At 45.6% G+C, this 17,928-nt stretch overlaps 2 annotated features.

Moving 5' to 3' along the window:
- Window positions 16,126-16,856: an enhancer, noted in NCBI's record as "H3K4me1 hESC enhancer chr2:30875673-30876403 (GRCh37/hg19 assembly coordinates)". NCBI's record gives its function as "activates a minimal SCP1, AML or CMV promoter by ChIP-STARR-seq in naive H9 embryonic stem cells {active_cell/tissue: H9 hESC(naive)}" and the evidence as "EXISTENCE:reporter gene assay evidence [ECO:0000049][PMID:30033119]".
- Window positions 16,857-17,588: an enhancer, noted in NCBI's record as "OCT4-NANOG-H3K4me1 hESC enhancer chr2:30874941-30875672 (GRCh37/hg19 assembly coordinates)". NCBI's record gives its function as "activates a minimal SCP1, AML or CMV promoter by ChIP-STARR-seq in naive and primed H9 embryonic stem cells {active_cell/tissue: H9 hESC(naive and primed)}" and the evidence as "EXISTENCE:reporter gene assay evidence [ECO:0000049][PMID:30033119]".

Raw genomic sequence — 17,928 nt, 5'->3', positions numbered from 1 at the left:
GAATCCGGCTTCAAAAGAAAAAGAAAAAGAAAAAGAAAAAAAAGAAAAAAAGAGTGAAAAGAGAACTATTTGAATATACAATGTCTAAGAACTTTCCAAAATTAATTCAAAGCAACAAACCATAATTCCATGAATCTTAGCAAACCCCAACAAGAATAAATAAAAACAAAACAAAACTTAAGCTCATCATGGTCAAACCACTGAAACCCAAAGATAAAGATAAAACCTTGAAAACAACCAAAGAGGAGGGTAATCATGCAAACAGGAGAAAAGATTAGAATTATAGCAGATTTTTAATCTCTGCAAACCAGAGCTAGAAAAACATCTTTAAAGTGCTGGGGAGGGCAGGGGCAGGAAACCAAAAACCTGTCAGTTCATAATTTTATAGCCAGCAAAAATATCTTTTTAAAACAAAGGCAAAATAAATACTTTTTCAGGCAAAGAAACCTGAGAGAATTCATTACCCGCAGGTCTTCACTATAAAAACTTGTAAAGGAACTTTTGCAGACAGAAGGAATATATCAAATGGAAACTTAGATCTCCACAAAAAATGAAGATTGCTAGAACTGGTAAAAATGGGGATAAATAGAAAAGACGTTTTGTTCCTTTTAAAAGTCTCTTTACAACAGGTAAAATATATGACAAAAATAGCATAAAGAATGGGAGGGAGGAAATGGGATTACACTGTGCTGAGCTTCTTAAACTACATGTTTAATGGTATAATATTATTTGAAGCTGTTTATTGTGAACTCGAGAGCAGGACTATAAAAACGAAAGGAACAATGGAGATGTGAGTCACAAGTCAAAATATAAAAATCTGTTCTGACAATATATAGTTAATACAATTATTTTAAGTGAAGAAGAGGGGTAAAAAATATTGGAAACAAAGTAAGTTTTGCTAATTGCCTTCTCTGTAACATGTGATAATTAAAAAAACTGGTTAGGCAATAGAAGTATGTGCATATTTAACCTGGTGAAGATAAATGCAAAAAGATAATTTCATTAACCAGGAGAGCATGGTAGAGGAAAGGGAAAAGGAAGCATGCTAGTTTTATTCTTGTTTATAGAAAAGAACTAATATATTCTGCCTAAGGAAAGCTAAGGCCATACATAAAGCTTTAATCTTAAAGGTAAATACTAGAAAAACAACAACAATTCACCTTCTTAACATGAGAAGAACCACACACACAAAAAAAAGGACAAAGGGAAAAAAGAATAAAAGAATAAATAAAAGAATAAAAGCCACAGGGTAAAAAACTAAAAGATAAGTAAAAATTAAAAGTAAAAACAAGAAACATGATATAAAATTATATGACAAGGCTAAGCATGGTGGCTCACACCTGTAATCTCAGCACTTTGGGAAGCTGAGGCAGGCAGGTTACTTGAGACCAGGAGTTCAAGACCAGCCTGGCCAGCATGGTGAAACCCTGTCTCTACTAAAAAAAAAAAAAAAAAAAAAAAAAAAAAAAAAAAATTAGCTAGGCATGGTGGGGCACACCTGTAATCCCAGCTACTTGGGAGGCTGAAGCAGGAGAATTGCTTGAATTTGGGAGGCAGAAGCTGTAGTGAGCTGAGATTGGGCCACTGCACTCCAGCCTGGGCAACAGTGAGACCCTGTCTCAAAAAAAAAAAATTATATGACAAAACCCTAAACAAATGTATTTGTCATATCTATAAATGTAAATGTGCTAAATTCACCTCTTAAGAAGATTTCAGATAGACTCATAGAGCAAAACCAAACTCTGTGCACCATGCAAAAGGCATACCTAAAACCAAATGATTCAGGAAGGCTGAAAATAAAAGAATGGGCAATGTCACACTAGGTAAATGCCAAGATGAAAAAAATCAAGATTCATGAAGTTAATGTAAGGAAAGGGAGGGTTCAGAAATCACTATACAAGACAAAGACACTTTATAATGCCAAGGGTTGTAATTTACAACTCAGATGTAAGAATTATGAACATGGCAGTCAACACAGTAGCAAATTTTATATAGTAAGAATTATGGAAAAAATCGGGAGAAATTGATAAACACACATAATAAGAGATTTAAATTTATGTCTCAGTCTAGGGCAGATCAAGAAAACAAACAAAAAGAAATAGGTCAAGTTATAGTCAACCTTAGTAAGATCACAGGGCAAGTACTGTATCCTAATAATAGAGAACACACCTTTTCAATGCCAAGTGAAGATAAACACTCATGAAAACCTTACATTAAGCCACAAAGAGAACCTCAATAAATAGTCTAGTCACAATAAATGTAATAAAATTAAAAATGAATAACAATATAATAAAAACATTCTTTTCATCTGAAAATTAATAAACTCCTTTCTAAATTAATAAACTCCTTACTCTTAGGGTAAAGGGGAAAATAGAAACAAATAGAATTAAGTGTGTGTATTAAAATAATAAAGTACACACGTTAAATCCAATGAGGATATAAATAAAGCAGTGCTCAGAGGAAAAATCAGTAAAAAAAAAAAATAATAAAACAGGTGAATAAGATTCAGTTCAGAAAGAGAAAAACAGCAGGAAGGAAAATATAAAAACAAAGTAATTAATTTGATAACAGAGAAACATAGTACCAATACATAAATCCAAAAGCTGGTCCTTTGAAAAGAGTAAATTGAGAAATGAAAAAGAAGATACAAATAACAAAGAAACAGGCGGAGTAAACATAGAAAGGAAAATTAAAATAATCATATGAAACCACTTTGCATGCTATTAAGTGAATATATCCTAAAACCTGATATAATGGAAGTCAATTTGGGCTGGTAAGAGAAAAAAATTAGATAAATTAAATTGAGCAGTGTATTTGAACAAATAATGATTCATGAATTAGGCAGTCCTCAGAACCAGGAGAGGTTCAGAGAGCTACACTTGGCAACGTGAGCAGGCAGTATTTACAGATAGAAAAAGGAAGTGACACACAGAACGCTTGACTGATTACAGCTGGGCATTTGCCTTATAAGGACATGATCTGATCAGTTGGTAGCCTGTGATTGGCTGAAGCTCAGCTGCTCTAACTGGCTGAAACTCAGCTATTTGTTACAGGAATATACTCTTAGTGAAGTTGCAGTTTGTTTACATACAAAGTTAAGTTGCAGTTTGCTATGTATGAACTCAAAGTAGGAAGGCAGCCTCAGGCCAAATTTAGTTCAATTTAACAGGGCTCAGAGGGGTTGCATGAGTAACTAGTAGAGCCAAGACTGTATCCCAGTCTTGTGACTCCCAAGTTAAAGTTTCTCAAGCACGTCCACTGTCTCCTGCCTGCAGCTTCCTTGGACAACGGCTGGGAGATCTGGATCCTGTCTAAGGTCTGCAGGAGGGGAAACTGGCAGAAAAGACTGGCTCTGGATTTGTAGAGCTTGTGAAAAAAACCATCCATCATTGGCATCAGGGACCAAGAGGCCTAGCTAGACAGAGTCCTCCCTCTTTTTGGAAGCCCCAGCCTGCCCATCAGGATCATCCAGCACACAGTGCACACCACCCCACAGCTTTCTGGCTCTACTGGACTCTGACTTCTCCCCTTACTCAGCCTGGACTGCATCTTTCATCTGTCTGGGGTCCTCAGGACAGCACTCACTTCTGCCACTTTCCCACCTCGTCCACTTCGAATAGCCAGATCCCAGCCAGCTGTAATGCAGGCCATGCCTCCTCAAGAAATTGATACAGCACCCAAGAGGTGAGGGGCAAACCAGCATCCCCAAACCCAAGTGTGGAGTCCACCCAACAGAGAGTGGGCTTGAAGAGAGCTGGAATGTGGATCAGCAGCCCATAAGGATGCAAAATCAAGGCCAGGCTGACAGACACAAAAGATACCCCCCATATTGGGTTCAGTGGAAGAGAGAGTTGTGGAACAATGCGATTAGTATAATCTACTCTGTAAACTTTTTTTGCTCATTGTAAAAGCAGGATGATGGGGGAGAGACAGGAACACATGAAGTGAAAATATATTTTCCTATCACCCAGGAATCCCCAGCCTCTGTTTCTAGGAGTCAAGCTCAATTTTCATGTCTGGTATATTCTTATTTTTCCAAAGTTATTCCATGTATGAAATAGCATGTAAATGTTTATAAATAGGTTACACATACACATACATTATATTAAAATTTAACACCAAATGGAGCCATTCATTAATGTGTTCATTCAGTCTTCCATTTTAAATGGATTCAATGCCAAAGATCCGACAATGAGCAAAACTAGAGCCAGTCCTTGCTCCCACACAGTCTAGTGTGGATACGACCATTAAATATCCACACAAAGGAAGGTATAATTAGAAACTGAGATCCAGTGAGGAAACACATGTGAAAGTCTCAACAGTGAAGCTTCCCACAGTGGCAGCCACAACTGTCATTGTTTAAGAGGCAGTTACCAGCAAGCTGGGCATCCCAGACCTGGCCATAGATGCATTCTCTTCAGGCCTCTACTCTGCTTCTGATTGAGAACCAGAGCTGTGACTCACTGCCCTCCACCATCTGCTGGAGGGGCTCAAATGACTCAGCCCCACCCCACCCCACCCCATCCCCCAGGAATGCTTCAGAGGAGCAAGAGACGAAATTATTCCGTGTGACTCAGGCCCAGCCTGGCCCACACCCTCTGCCCGTCTGTGCCTGAGAAGCAGTGGTGGCCATCGCCGTGCCCCTGAAGGACACATATTTTCAGGTAAAGAATGTGCTTAGGAAGATTGTCTTAGCCTGTTTGGGCTGCTACAACAAAAACGCCACAGACTGGGTGGCTTAAATGACACACATTTACTTCTTACAGTTTTGGAGTCTGGGAAGTCCAAGATCCAGGCAGATTCAGTGTTGGCTGAGGAACCACTTCCTGGCTCAGAGGTGGCCATCTCCTCGCTGTGTCCTCACATGGCTGAAGGGGTGAGGGGTTTCGCTGGTGTCTCCTTTATGAGAGGACTAATTCCATTCATGAAGGCTCCACCCCAACCTTATGACCTAATCACCTCCCACCTCTACATACCCTCACATTAGTGAATACCATGTTAGGATTTCTACATACAGATTTGGGGAGGAAACAACTCCAGAAAGGAATCCTCACAACACAAGCTGTGATGAATGTCTCAGGGTGGGAGCTGAGCTTGCCAGTGGAGCAGTGAGGAACCATGGCTCCCTTCCACCTCCTCCCTTAGCAGGGCCCTTCTGACCACACCTGTCCCCATGAATGTCATCTCTGCAGAGAATCACAAATCTGAGTCTCCAGTCTCTGCCCAGAACCTCAAACTGCACACGCCAGAGCAGGGCCAACCATCCCCTTCCAGAGCCTAGCACTGCCTCGCACATCTACCTCCTTGAATGACTCTACCTTCTGCTCTGAATCCTAATCTTGAAATCCTGGAGTTCACTTCAGCTCCTTCTCCCTCTTCTTCACTCTCCTCACCTAATCCATGATCAAAGCCAGTCACACTTCTGAATTTCTTCCCAATCTGCCCTTTCCTTGCTTCCCCTGCTTTGGCCTTCTGGATATCTCGTTTTCCACAAGGACTCTTTCAAGAACACCTCACTGGCCTTACTGACTCCAAGCTACAGACTTCTCACTGTGCTCAAAATATTTTCCTAAACACAATGAGGCAGGAATTTCCCACCATCCATTGGCATCGCTGGCATCTCCTCAGGGTCTACAGTAGAGACCACAAACTCCATGAAGGGCAGGTAGATGACCAAAGGGTTGCAGGCCAGGTTGAGTTGATAAAAGGGCCACCACAGGGAATGGGGAGGACTGGGGCAGATTGGAGGATGCTTGTCCTGCTTAGGAGCAGCCACCGCCCAGCTATAGCTAAGTATAGCTGCAAGAGAATGGAGACCCCAAATTGCCAGACCTTTTAGACTTTCACAAGATGCAAGAACCCAACTTTGTCTATGAAATCTCTTTATTTATAAAAGTTGGTAACTAATTCACATGTAAAATACTCTCAATAATTTCCTTATTCCTGCCATTTTGGGCCCTCCCTGGTCTGGGTTTACGTACATTTCCAGCACCATCCTCCCTGCTTATGGCCAAAACCATGCCACGCTCCAGGACACTAGGCTCTTTGCCATTCCCAGGACATGGCTTGCCTGGCACATTCCATCCCCTTCCTTGCAGATGCTGTTCCCTGTACTGCACTGTGCTATCCCTTCCATGCCTATCCAAATCCTACCCACCTATGAAGGGTCACCTCACTTCCACCTCCTTCAAGGACCTGTCCCATAGGCCTGAGACCAATGACTCCATTCCGCTCCACTTTGTGCTTCCCCTGCATGTTGTACCCCTGCCCCAGTGCAAGACACAATCTGACCTGTTTATCATCAGCTGTGCATGCACCCATCACCCACACGGTTGGAAACAAGAGTGCAGACATTGTGTCTTAGTCACAAAGCCTGCACACAGTAGGTGAACTAGAGACATTTCAGGAATGCTGCTAAGTAGAATTTAGGAAAGGGGACTGATGCCACAACAGAGCATGGACTTGGGAATTTGGGGTGTCCATGTCTTTGCACAAGTAGGGTCTTGTCCGCCTGAACTTCCTGATCTGCACACCCAACGTCCCTGAAGCCTCCAGCCCCTCTCCCACCCCAGCTTGTGTGAGGTGGAGCCCAGCACTCTGAGGAAGTTCTGAGTCACTGTCTGAGCCTCGGCCTAATGCACTTTGCAGGCTTTGTCGTTAGTAACCTGGCCGACTCCTTGCTTTGCAGTTCCCCCCGGTTTATGGCTAAAACCATCTGTGTGAAAGTGGGCCTTGCCAAAGTGTTTGCAGCTACTCCCTATTCCTCCTCCTGCACCTGAAGCCCTGGTCCCCTTCCGGCTGTTTATGACTGTTTGCTGTGGAAACGGCTGGATTCATAGCCCAGGAGGGAGCAGGTGCAGAGGCACCGGGAGAGCAAATGAGTTCACTCAAGTCAATGTGCCTGCTTCTCATTCTGACCCTGAGGAGCAGGGAATGCAGGCCAGACCAGTAAAGGGAGGACTTGGAGCAGGATGAAATGCAGGCTGCTTTTCCCGGAGATGTGAGCTGGATGTGAAATGGCCTCCAGATGTGGGCTGAGAGGTCCCCTAAAGTTTGAAGTTGAGCTTTTAACAGTCTCCCTATGGGGAACCAGAAAAGCCCTCAAGCTGAGGAAGCTTTGTTTGTTTCATTGCACACAGTCCTGGTCTCACGGTTCCTACCACTGTGTGCAGCTGCTGGGCCTGCGTTCCTGAACACCCACATGGGCCTTGACCATTTGGTCATCCAGGAGGACACAGAGCCATCCCACCTGGTCAACTTGCTGCGGGGACAGGAGCTTTCACCCCTGTGTTTGGTTAACATTTAGATGAGAAGGATTATTGTAAGGACCAAGTGAGAGGGTTTGCTGGGCAGTGGGGAACACTACACAAATGCAAACAATCAACTCACTGATTATTGGTGGTAGTGTTAATAGGCCAAGGAGTTGTCTGGAAGAGGCAGACACAACTTACTAAGGGACCAGCCCCTGCTAGGTGATGCTTTTGTTCCAAGTCTTTGTTCAGATCTTTCATTCAACAAGCTATTTTTAAGCTCCTACTATGTGCAGTGCATGGTACTGAGCTCTGCAGGAGAAAAAAGTGCAAGTTAGGAGTCCTGTTCATAAGACCCTTAAAACCTGCTAGCAGAGATAAAGCAAGTGCTACGCTAATGAGAAAGGAGCTAGGAAGGGAGGGAGCACTGGTTAGTGTGAGAAGAACACCCATGGGGACAGCAGACAGGAGCTTGGAGTCTCCTGTGCAGCTACTGGGGAGGGGTGTTGGCGAGCAGAGTGCAGAATGGGAGCAGTGGAGATGGTGGAAGGTGGAGGGGCAGCTTGAGTCCATGAGAAAGGTCCAGGAAAGCTGCCTTTTCAAACACCTCGCCACTAGCTTTGTGTCTTTAGCAGTAAGTGAGACTCCTTTTGTGGGATTCCCTGAATAGTCAGAGATAGCATTTGGCAGCCAGTGAAAGAGCTGACTGATGAAATGGAGATCTCTTACTTTTGGGCCAAGAGTCTGTTTTGTTGCTGGCATGGAGTCACAGCCCAATCATGGACAGATGAGAAGGCTCATCCCCTCGGCACCATCTTCTTTGGGAGTCCAACTCTACCAGGTCCCTGGGATTGGGATATTGACCATAGGGTTGAGGCCAGATCCAGCTCTTTCTGTTCCAAGAAGTAGAAGGTTTTCCCTCCAAGCAAATAACCTTTCACTATCTATAGCTACAGCCTTTGTAATATTATGAACAGTCTTAGCTGTTTTTTAACTGAGGCTGGATAGCTCTAATGTTCTTCTACTGAAGGTCAGGTCCCTTGCTGCACAATAAAGAAGTTACCCAGTTTCTTCTGGCTAGTTAGGAGTTGTTATCTTGACCAAGCTGAGGCACAATTCTTCAACTACCATCCCCTCTCCCAGAGTTGTGGTGAGTTCTTTGTCATCTCTGGAGTACCGCTTGCCCAGGAGTTGAAGGGCTGACTTTTACTGGAGGTGGAGATGGTATTCTCAATCCAGACATTTAAGAGTTTAATGAATGCTTCAAAGACTCCTTAATTAAAGTTCCCATAAGACCTAGCAGGTTTATGCAAATTCAGCTCTCCTTCCAATTCCCTACCCCTCACCTTATGCCAAAGTTTTTGGGGGCAGGTCAGTAGATCAGGCGCTACTCTGACCCAAAGCCACACATTTAATGAGGAACAGCTTCATGGTTCAAGCAGCATCACATGCTTTTACTTGATCAACTTCCCAACGCTGCTAATAAAAGCTTTACCTAAAGAGAAGCCTCATGTCCTGAACTAACTACACCCAGCACAACAGCTGTCAGGTCAGATGAGGCCTGTACTCTATGCAGCCTTCTCATTTCAAGCTAAGAATGTTATCGATCTCCATTAGCTGCTTCTGTGATCAACTGCATACTTTTGCATAAGCACTCAGTTGGAATGACTAACCCCATGGAACATTCACATCTGAGGGAGACCAAGTGCTTTTCAGTATGATCCCCGTACCCTCTGAAAAGCAGGGTGACATGGAGTCTGTTCCCCATGGAGAGTTGTGTATGACTGAGGTTCAGGGAGGACCAGCATGCCACCCATGGTCATTTCACGAGCCTAGGGAGTCAGGGACATCCCTCCCCACCTTCCTGCTGTTTGCATATTCTTTGCCAGGTGCCACTTTTCAGTGTCTAGGAAGGAAATTTAGTTGAACCAGGACAATACATTTCTCTGGAATGATACCAAGGGGTGACTGTTAAATGACGTAGGGACCTCAAATGAAATGAACCATTCCTTTCTGAAAGAGCCAACACCTGCTTTCCAGGGGCATTCAGAGTTTGAGCTTCATTGATCATATGGCAGAATGGCTTCTACAATTTTATTATTGATCATGGAAAGTAGCCTTTTATTTTCCCTCCCTCTTTCCTTTTCAGGCTCTACTGTGGAGTGAGTTCATGCCCACTGATCCAACTTACCCCTTGCCCCTATCTTTTCCATCACTAAATCCCTAACTTCTCTAGTTTATAAGGTGCTGATTAGAAGTTCTCTGTGAGCATTTGCTCTCAGTGTCCTGGGTGGCCTTTGGAAGTCTCCCTTCACCCTGCCTCCACGGTTCTGTCTATGAATGTTCAGGATAGGAATAAATACTCTCCCAGCCAGGAGTGGCATGACAGTCCCAAGGGACAGGGTGCCTGGTACACAGTAGGAGCTCAATAAGAGTTGCTGTTATGTGGCCTTGGATGAGTCACTTGCCCTCCCTGGGCACCAGTTTTACCATCAGCTCTCATTTTTGCTAATAATGATGATGGAGGAAAAAGACAAAGAGGAGGAAGAAGAGAACACTAAGAGACACATATGAAAGATGTAGTGTATGATAGAGTGGTTGGGGAAAAGAAAGAAGAAAGAGAGGGGGATGGAAAAGCCAACCTCAAAACATAACAAAGAGGAAGATCTGCAGGAGCACAGGAGTCCCACAGTTGCCCCTACACCAAAGGGCTCCTGGGTTCCAAGTATTTGCTACATGAGAAGGAAAATCCCCCAGCCTCGTCTTTCCTTCAACCCAACAATGGAGCCCTCCTTCCACTCCTGGAAACATGAAAGTTCACATCTCATCATGTCTCAAGCATGTCTTCTCATGTCTCATCGACTTCCACCTTGATAGAAGAGGGGTTTGTGAGATTTAGGGTGTGGGAACCTGGCCTGGGAGAGCAGCGAGAGATTAGACACCCTTTAGTGCTGACCTCTGCCTCCCTCCAATGATCAGAGCCTCAAGGTCATGCTGATGGCAAGAGCCAGTGCCTAGACTGGACAGCAAGGGTCCTGATTCCCCATCCAGTTCTTTATCCTATCTCCTGACACCCTCTACTTATGAAGGAACTTTGCTCAGCCCTTCCATTCATAGAGGGCTTCCAAGCCATGCCCACATTGACCCTTTTCAATAATTCACCCTGGGAAGTGGGTGTCGTTTCCCCATTTTGCAGGTCAAGAAGCTGAAGCTCAGCAGGATTAACTGACTTGCTCAAGTCTTGAATTCTGCCTCCTTAATACATAGCTGAACCACTTCTTTGTGGCAAACTCTGCACCATGCTGAGCTCAAAGTGATTAAATTGGGTCTTGAGTCCTGAGTTGAGGGAATGATGCATTGATTCTTCCCTTGGTTCCTGGAAGTCTTCTAGCTCTAAGGAGACAATGGCTGCTGTGACTTGTCCCTTCCCAGGGTGCTGTAGAGGAACCTGGAGCCCCTGGTACCCATCTGCTTGACCTGGGGGCTGCAGAATATGCCTTAGGCTGTGACTCTTGGGATTCCACACCAGCCTCGTCAGCACTTTGTGTGCCTGACTTCCATCTTCCAGTCTTGGCCTGGGGGAATCCATTTTCCTACTGTTCCGGAGACTTCCACACTGAGTGTCCAGAGGGCTGGACTTCCACAGAGGGTTTTTTTTCCTATGGTATGGGGATACCATGCCTGTATAAAGTGTTGGCCCTGGAGCTTTGGCTACCAAGATGCCAAAATCTCTTTATATTTGAGTCTTTATAAAACCAAATTTTCTTCTGGAGGTGCTCCCATGTCACAATATATACCAAAAACATGACTTGCACCCTTGCATTTCTCCAGCCACTGGGGTGGGACAACAAAGGGGAAGTTCATGGAGAGGTCTATGGAAAACTGATGCCTTCATCTAGTTACCTTCTCTGCCGGTCCACAGTCAATCTTCTGGTTGAGGGTCTAGAGCCTTTATTAGTCAGGAACGCCAGAAGTCAGGGTGACAAGCTAGATGGGAAGCAGAAAAGAGCGAGGACAAGCTGGGACCTGCCAGACACGTTTGCATCTGTTTCACACCATATGCAACCACGACAATTTTCAGAGAGTAATGGCCTCTGCTTCACTTCTGTCTTCCAAATCTCTTACCAGTTGCTGTTTGGCCAATTCTATATGGCTCCTATAACGTGGAGCCATACAGGGAAAAGAATTCTGGGAGTATAGCCCCCAGCTTAACCAAATTAACACAGCACCATCCAACATAGTGTACTTTAGCAAATCACTTCCCTCTGAGTCTTTATTCCTCTTCAGTAAAATAGGGGAAATAATACTAACAATAATCTAACTCAGACTATTGATTAAATAAGAAATATATGCATAGTCTGGCATATTCTAAGTACTCAGTGCTGATATGGTTTGGCTGTGTCTCCACCCAAATCTCATCTCGAATTGTAGTTTCCATAATCCCCACATGTCATGAGAGGGACCAGTAGGGGGTAATTTAATCATGGGGGCAGTTACCTCCATGCTGTTCTCGTGATAGTGAATGAGTTCTCACAAGATCTGATGGTTTTATAAAGAGCCTTCCCCCCACTTCGCTCTGCACTTCTCCTTGCTGCTGCCTTGTGAAGGACGTGTTTGCTTCCCCTTCCGCCAGGACTGTAAGTTTCCTGAGGCCTCCCTAGCCATGCTGAACTGTGAGTCAATTAAACCTCTCTCCTTTAAAATTACCCAGTGGTGGGTATGTCTTTCTTAGCAGCATGAGAACAGACTAATACAAATGCATACTATTTTGCTTATTATAGAAGAAACTCATACATGCTTGTTGAATGAATGAATTGGAACTCTTTGGAGAGGTATAAAGGGGACAGGAAATAAGTCACCCGCCAGAACTTCAGGGCCAAGCTTCCTCTTGTGGGGATCATCTGGGTGGTCTGGCACAGAGAATCAGGCTGGGCTAGGGAGCTCAGCCCCACTTCACCTGCCTCTATCAGTTCTGCTCTTCTAAGTCCAGATAAAGGCTGCCCAGGAGACCAAGCTGTCCAAGAATCAGAAAACCTGAGTTCTGGGCTGGGCACAGTGGCTCACACCTGTAATCCCAGCACTTTGGGAGGTGAAGGCAAGAGGTGACTTGAGGTCAGGAGTTCGAGACCAGTCTGGCCAATATGGTGAAATCCCGTCTTCTACTGAAAATACAAAAATTAGCTGGGCATGGTGGCGGGCAGCTGTAATCCCAGCTACTTGGGAAGCTGAGGCAGGAGAATGGCTTGAACCCAGGAGGCGGAGGTTTCAGTGAGCCAAGATCACACCACTGTACTCCAGCCTGGGCTATAGAGTGGACTCAATCAGAAAGGAAGAAAAGAGAGAAAGAAAGAAAGAAAGAGAGGAAGAGGAGAAGGGAGGAAGGGAGGAAGGAAGGAAGGAAGAGAAAAGAAAGAAAACCTGATTTCTAGCCCTAGATCTGCATCTCTTCAATGTACAAACATAGGTAAGTCCTTCATCTGCCACTAGTCTGTGTCTTCCCATCCAGTTGGACCAGAGAATCTGGGTAGCTTCCTTTGCTGTCCCTCCACAGGGACCTCTGGATGAGATGACAAAGAGAGCTGGTTTGGAAAAACAACTTCAGGCCACTCTGTAAGGACCAATTATTCCACCTCATGGTCAGAATGAGACCACTGCATGTGTATTATTCAAACTAACCTCTACAATACATCCACTCCAAAATTTAATTGTAGGAAACCTATCTGAAATGTAAGATGGTAAGTCCAGAACCCACATCAATTACCAAAAGGTAAGGGCAAGCAGTGATATTTTTTGATCACCTACCATGAATCATGTGTTTTATTTACATTATTTTATGTTTTGTACAGTGGCCCTGAGCTCAGTGTTTTCTCCATTTTCCAGCTGAGGAAACTGAAGCTCAGAAAGGTTATGCAGCCTTGAGATCTGCCCAAGCTCAAGCAAGGGCCCATGATGACACTGGGGTTGAGTCCAAACTGGTCTCGCCCAGAGCTTGTGCAGATGACAAGGCCTTAGGAGACGTTGAAGGTGCCACTCACACTCAGGAATGAACTTATATCTCTGTTGAAAATGGAAACTCAGGCTTGTGCTTTGCTGACCAGGCAGGACAGAGCTGCTGTTGGTCCCTGGAAGTTGAGTCATGGTGGTAAGTGGTCAGGAGTACACGAGGGGAGAAGCAGCACCCAGGATGAGCTCATTATATGGTGTCAGCTGAGCATTGAACCCTGAGATAGGGGCTCCAAGGCAAGGGGACGTTTCCTCACTTTCTATCTTCAGTGGCCCAAGGAAAAGGAGGGGAAGGAAGGCACCTTTATTTCTTACCCTATGGCCTCCTTGAAGGTCTTGCTCCATAATGGGAAGTTTGCAAATGTGGGACACTTCCTCCCCCTGAAATTCTCCAAGGCTGCCTGGAATTTCAGAGATAGGAGCATGTTATCCTCTGGGTATCTGCAAACAGTGGGTGGAATGGAGACCAGCTGTGGCCACAAGGGCAGGGTTTGGGGCCTGAGAGCCCAGTGCTTGCCTTTGCCTGGGTCTGCACACAGCAGGTTTTTGACACACTACCGACAGCTGGCGGGATGAATGGGAGGAGGGTGAAGTCACCAGGCCACAGAACAAGGAATCCAAGGGAGAGATTCCAGAGCAGGTTTGGCAGAGAAGTAGGGAATGTGAGATGCTGGTGCTCCCTGTTATATGGTGAGTAGCGGCCTTCGCCCAGGGAACTATCCTGAATTCATGAGCTGATCCCTCCGTTCTACTCTAACCTCTATAGCCCACCCTTCATGCAGCATGGGAGTGATCTGTATTTAAAACATAAAGCAGGTCATGTCATTACTCGTGGCAACTCTCCAATAGACATACAATATGCAGTGGACATTTTTCACAGCTGCCTGCAAGGTCCTATGTGAAGTGGTCGTGCCCTCCTCCCCTCCGACCACTCTCAGCTCAGTGGCTTTGCTGCAGAACTGCCCACCCTCACGGCCTCCAGCCACAGCGGGGCACAGAGGAGACTCAATGATGCTGGCTGAGTGAGTCAGCAAGTACAGCTGAGATGCTGATCAGAGTGTATCTGCCCATCTTGATATCTTGCTGTCCCCTCCTGCTGAGCAAAAGACCTCACTTTGGAGCCACCCAGTTTTGCACATTCTCCTGCTAGCTTTAACCAAACCCCTCCTTCATCTTCCCAACGTCTAGAAGAGGTTCTTAGGAGGCTTCTCCAGCCCACCCGCCATCATGACGCAGTGAGCACTTGAGCTCTAGACAGGGGAAGCAACTTGGCCAAGGTCTTTCGCGGAGTTTGGTGGAGGTGCAGCCAGGTCTGGTGCTGGCTGTCCTGCTGGAGGGCAGTACCCCCACTGCCCCTGTAGCCACAGGGCCTAGGCTGCAAAATCAGGGGATGCCCCAGGACTCACAGCAGCCCAGAGGGGTCCCTAGATGGAGTCAGTGGCCTCATGATTCCTCTGGGCCACTGAAAGGACCTGGGACCCAAAAGGCTGAGACCCCACATGGGATAAAGTCCAGTCTCAGAATGCCCTGGTTGCCCCATAGCTGTTCTTGGCTGAACTTGAACCTCTGCTCCCAGGGGCCTCTGAGAACATCTTGAGGCAGCCCCAGGGAGGACAACCTCATGGCTCTAGGGAGCAAGGAGAAATAGGGAGGAAGCTGAAGAGGAGGAGAGGGGAGGGGACTTAAGCTCACTGTGTGGTGGGAGAGAAAGACCGTTTCAGCGGCAGCACTTCACAGTTGGCCAAGGAGGCAGGGTGGGGAGGGGGGTTACTGGGGTGGGTGGGCTGGGAAAGGGGATGCAGCAACCTTTGGAGCTTTGCAGAGAGCATTGCCTTTGCAGCTCACCACTCCATACTTGAAGGGGTGAGAGCACGGACCCTGGAGCCAAATCTGCCAAATCTTTCCATCTCAGCTTGAACTCTGCCAGTTAGTAACTCTGTGACCTTGGTCAAGTCACTTACCCCTTCTAAGCCTCAGTTTCCTCACCTGTAAAATGGGGAGAGCAGTAGTCCCTATCTGCAGAAGGCTGTTCTTCGGTAGCTCCAGTGAACCACGCTGGCTCTGGGACAAGCTTTGGCCAAAAGTGATGCAAACGGAGGTTTGGCGAACATTTGCACATAGGAGCTCATCCTTTGGAATATTCCTTCTTAGAAAATTCAACCACCACGCCATGAGAAAGCCCAAGCAGGTGTGTGGAAAAGCCTGCGGGGAGGAGAGTCAAGGACCCTGGCCAAGATCCTCACTGAGCTCCCAACCAGTGGCCAGCACTGCCTGCCAGCCACATGACTGAGGCCACAGCAGAGCTCACCCAGCACCACAGGAGGCAGAAGAAATGCCTTGGCAACCCACAGAGCTGTGAGATAATGAGTGATTCTTGTTATGAAGTCACTAGGGCTTTGGAGGTTTCCTACACAGCAATAGAAAAACTCAAACACTATCTCATAGAGTTATAAGGAGGACTCAAAAAGATGATTCACATGTGTACAAAGCACAGTGCCTGGTGTAGAGCAAGACTCCATATATGCAGCTATTATTTGCACTGTGGTCATTTGATCATCATAGCAAGCTGTGGAATAGTGACCCTTATTGCTGCCCTTATACAAATGCTAATAGGTAACAAGCATGATACTGTGCAGTTTATAAGTCGCTTTCTCATACGTTATCCATATCATGGCAACATGAACCCCGAAAACATTAAGGGCCGTGCCCAAGATTACACAGCTCCTAAGTGGCTGAGCTAGATTCAAACACACATCTCCATAGCCCAAGTATAGTGTCAGTGAACCCCAAACACTGCCTCATGGGCCACAATGACTGGTCTTGGATAAAATGCAACAGTACAGAGACTTAGCTGCTCCCCAGAAAAGCTGACTTGGGATTGCGTCCTACCTATGTGATTTTAGGAAAAAACTTAACCAAGTCTTAAGTTCCACATCTGAGAAAGGGACATAATATGCTTGGCCCAGCTTTTCTCCATCACTGAATGCCATGAGATTTGAATCAAAGAATGGGTGGAAAAGGATAATGGATTTTTTTTTTTTTTTAAGAGACAGGGTCTTGCTATATTGCCCAGAATGGTCTCGAACTCCTGGGCCCAAGCCATCCACCTGCCTGGGCGTCCCAAAGTACTGGGATTACAGGCATGGACCACCATGCCCAGCCGATTTTCATTAGTTTTCTGTAAAATTCTTTGGCAGGGTCTGACCTCCTCCCATCATTACAGCAGATGTGCATCCCAAACAGGACAATTTGGGGTACAAATTGGTCTGTGTGCCCTGTCCTCTGATCAGGGAGAGCCTGGAAACATCTGGTTCCCAGTGGTGAGCTGAGGGTGAAGGGTGCTATTGGCCATCCCTGACCAGGCGTGACTCTGGCCCTGGGCCCTGGGCCAGAGGTATGGTGGATAGAAGCTGCGTTTTGTCTGCCTACCACCACCCCCATTTGGATATTTGCAAGCCCCTCTCATGGCTTATATCCCCTGACCTTCTTTTCATCTGGCCAAGAACCATGAAGCACTAGCCCGGCCCCTCCCCTGCTTGATATTTTCCTTCTCCTTCTCAATGGGAAGTTTGTGGGATGCTTCTGAAAAGTGAATGGGGAGCACAGAGCTTGGTTTAATGACATTCTCCCTTGGTGGAAAAATTGATGGCATCTCATGCCTCAGCATATCTGAGTAAAGACAGGAAGAGAATGAATAAACAAACCGCATGAATATCTGGGAAAAGAGTGCCCCCAGCAGAAGGAACCACAGAGCAAAGAATCTTGAGGCAGGAGTGTACACTTCACTCAGCTCCCCTAAATGCTGCCATCTTACATAGCCAGAGTACAGTTACCAAGCCCGAGAAATTAACGCTGACACAATATGATTAACTTATCGACAGAACATATTCACATTTCGCCAGGATCCAGTTCAGGATCCCACATTCCAGGTAGTTGTCATGTCTCTTTAGTCTCCCCCATCGACAACAATTCCTCAGCCTTTGTCTTTCTTGACCTTGACACTTTCAAAGAGGGCTGGCCTGCTGATTTGTAAATGTCTCTCACTTTAGGTGGTCTGAGGTTTTCTCAGGATCAGATTACGTATTTTTTGCAAGAATAATGTTGTGTCTTTCTCAGGGAGTACCTGACATCAATATCTCTTAGGCCTGGTGGTGTTGGCCTTGATCACTTAAGATGGTGTTTGCTAGACTTCTTCTCTGTAAAGTTTTATTTTTCCCTTTGTAATTAATGCTAGCTCCTGGGGAGATACTGCAAGGCTATGCACGTATCACGTTTCTCATATATTTTTACTCAATTCAGTATCCATCAATGATTTGTGTCTGCAACAATTATTACTGTGGTGTTTGCCAAATGGTGGCTTGCTATCTCCATCATTTTTCAACATTTATTAATTGGAATGCTACTGTAAGGAAGAGTGTCTCCTTCTCCCCATTTACTATATATTTAATTTTTTGTTACTATGAACTTATGAATATTTCCTGTACCCTGTGGGTTATCCGTTCTATCATTATTTTGTTGCTCAAATTGTTCCAGCTTTGATGTCTGGGGACGCCTTTAGGTTGGCACCTGTGACCTTTCGATGTGCCACATGAGGAGTTTTTCAGATACACCCAGCTTCACATTCCGATATCCTGATACCATCGTTCTGGAGCGAGGCCTGGCTTTTGGACATTCC

Source organism: Homo sapiens, chromosome 2 (assembly GCF_000001405.40).
Source record: "Homo sapiens chromosome 2, GRCh38.p14 Primary Assembly".
NCBI lineage: Eukaryota > Metazoa > Chordata > Mammalia > Primates > Hominidae > Homo > Homo sapiens.
The sequence above is the reverse complement of the archived record's forward strand: the minus strand, read 5'-3'. Positions and strand labels throughout refer to the sequence as shown.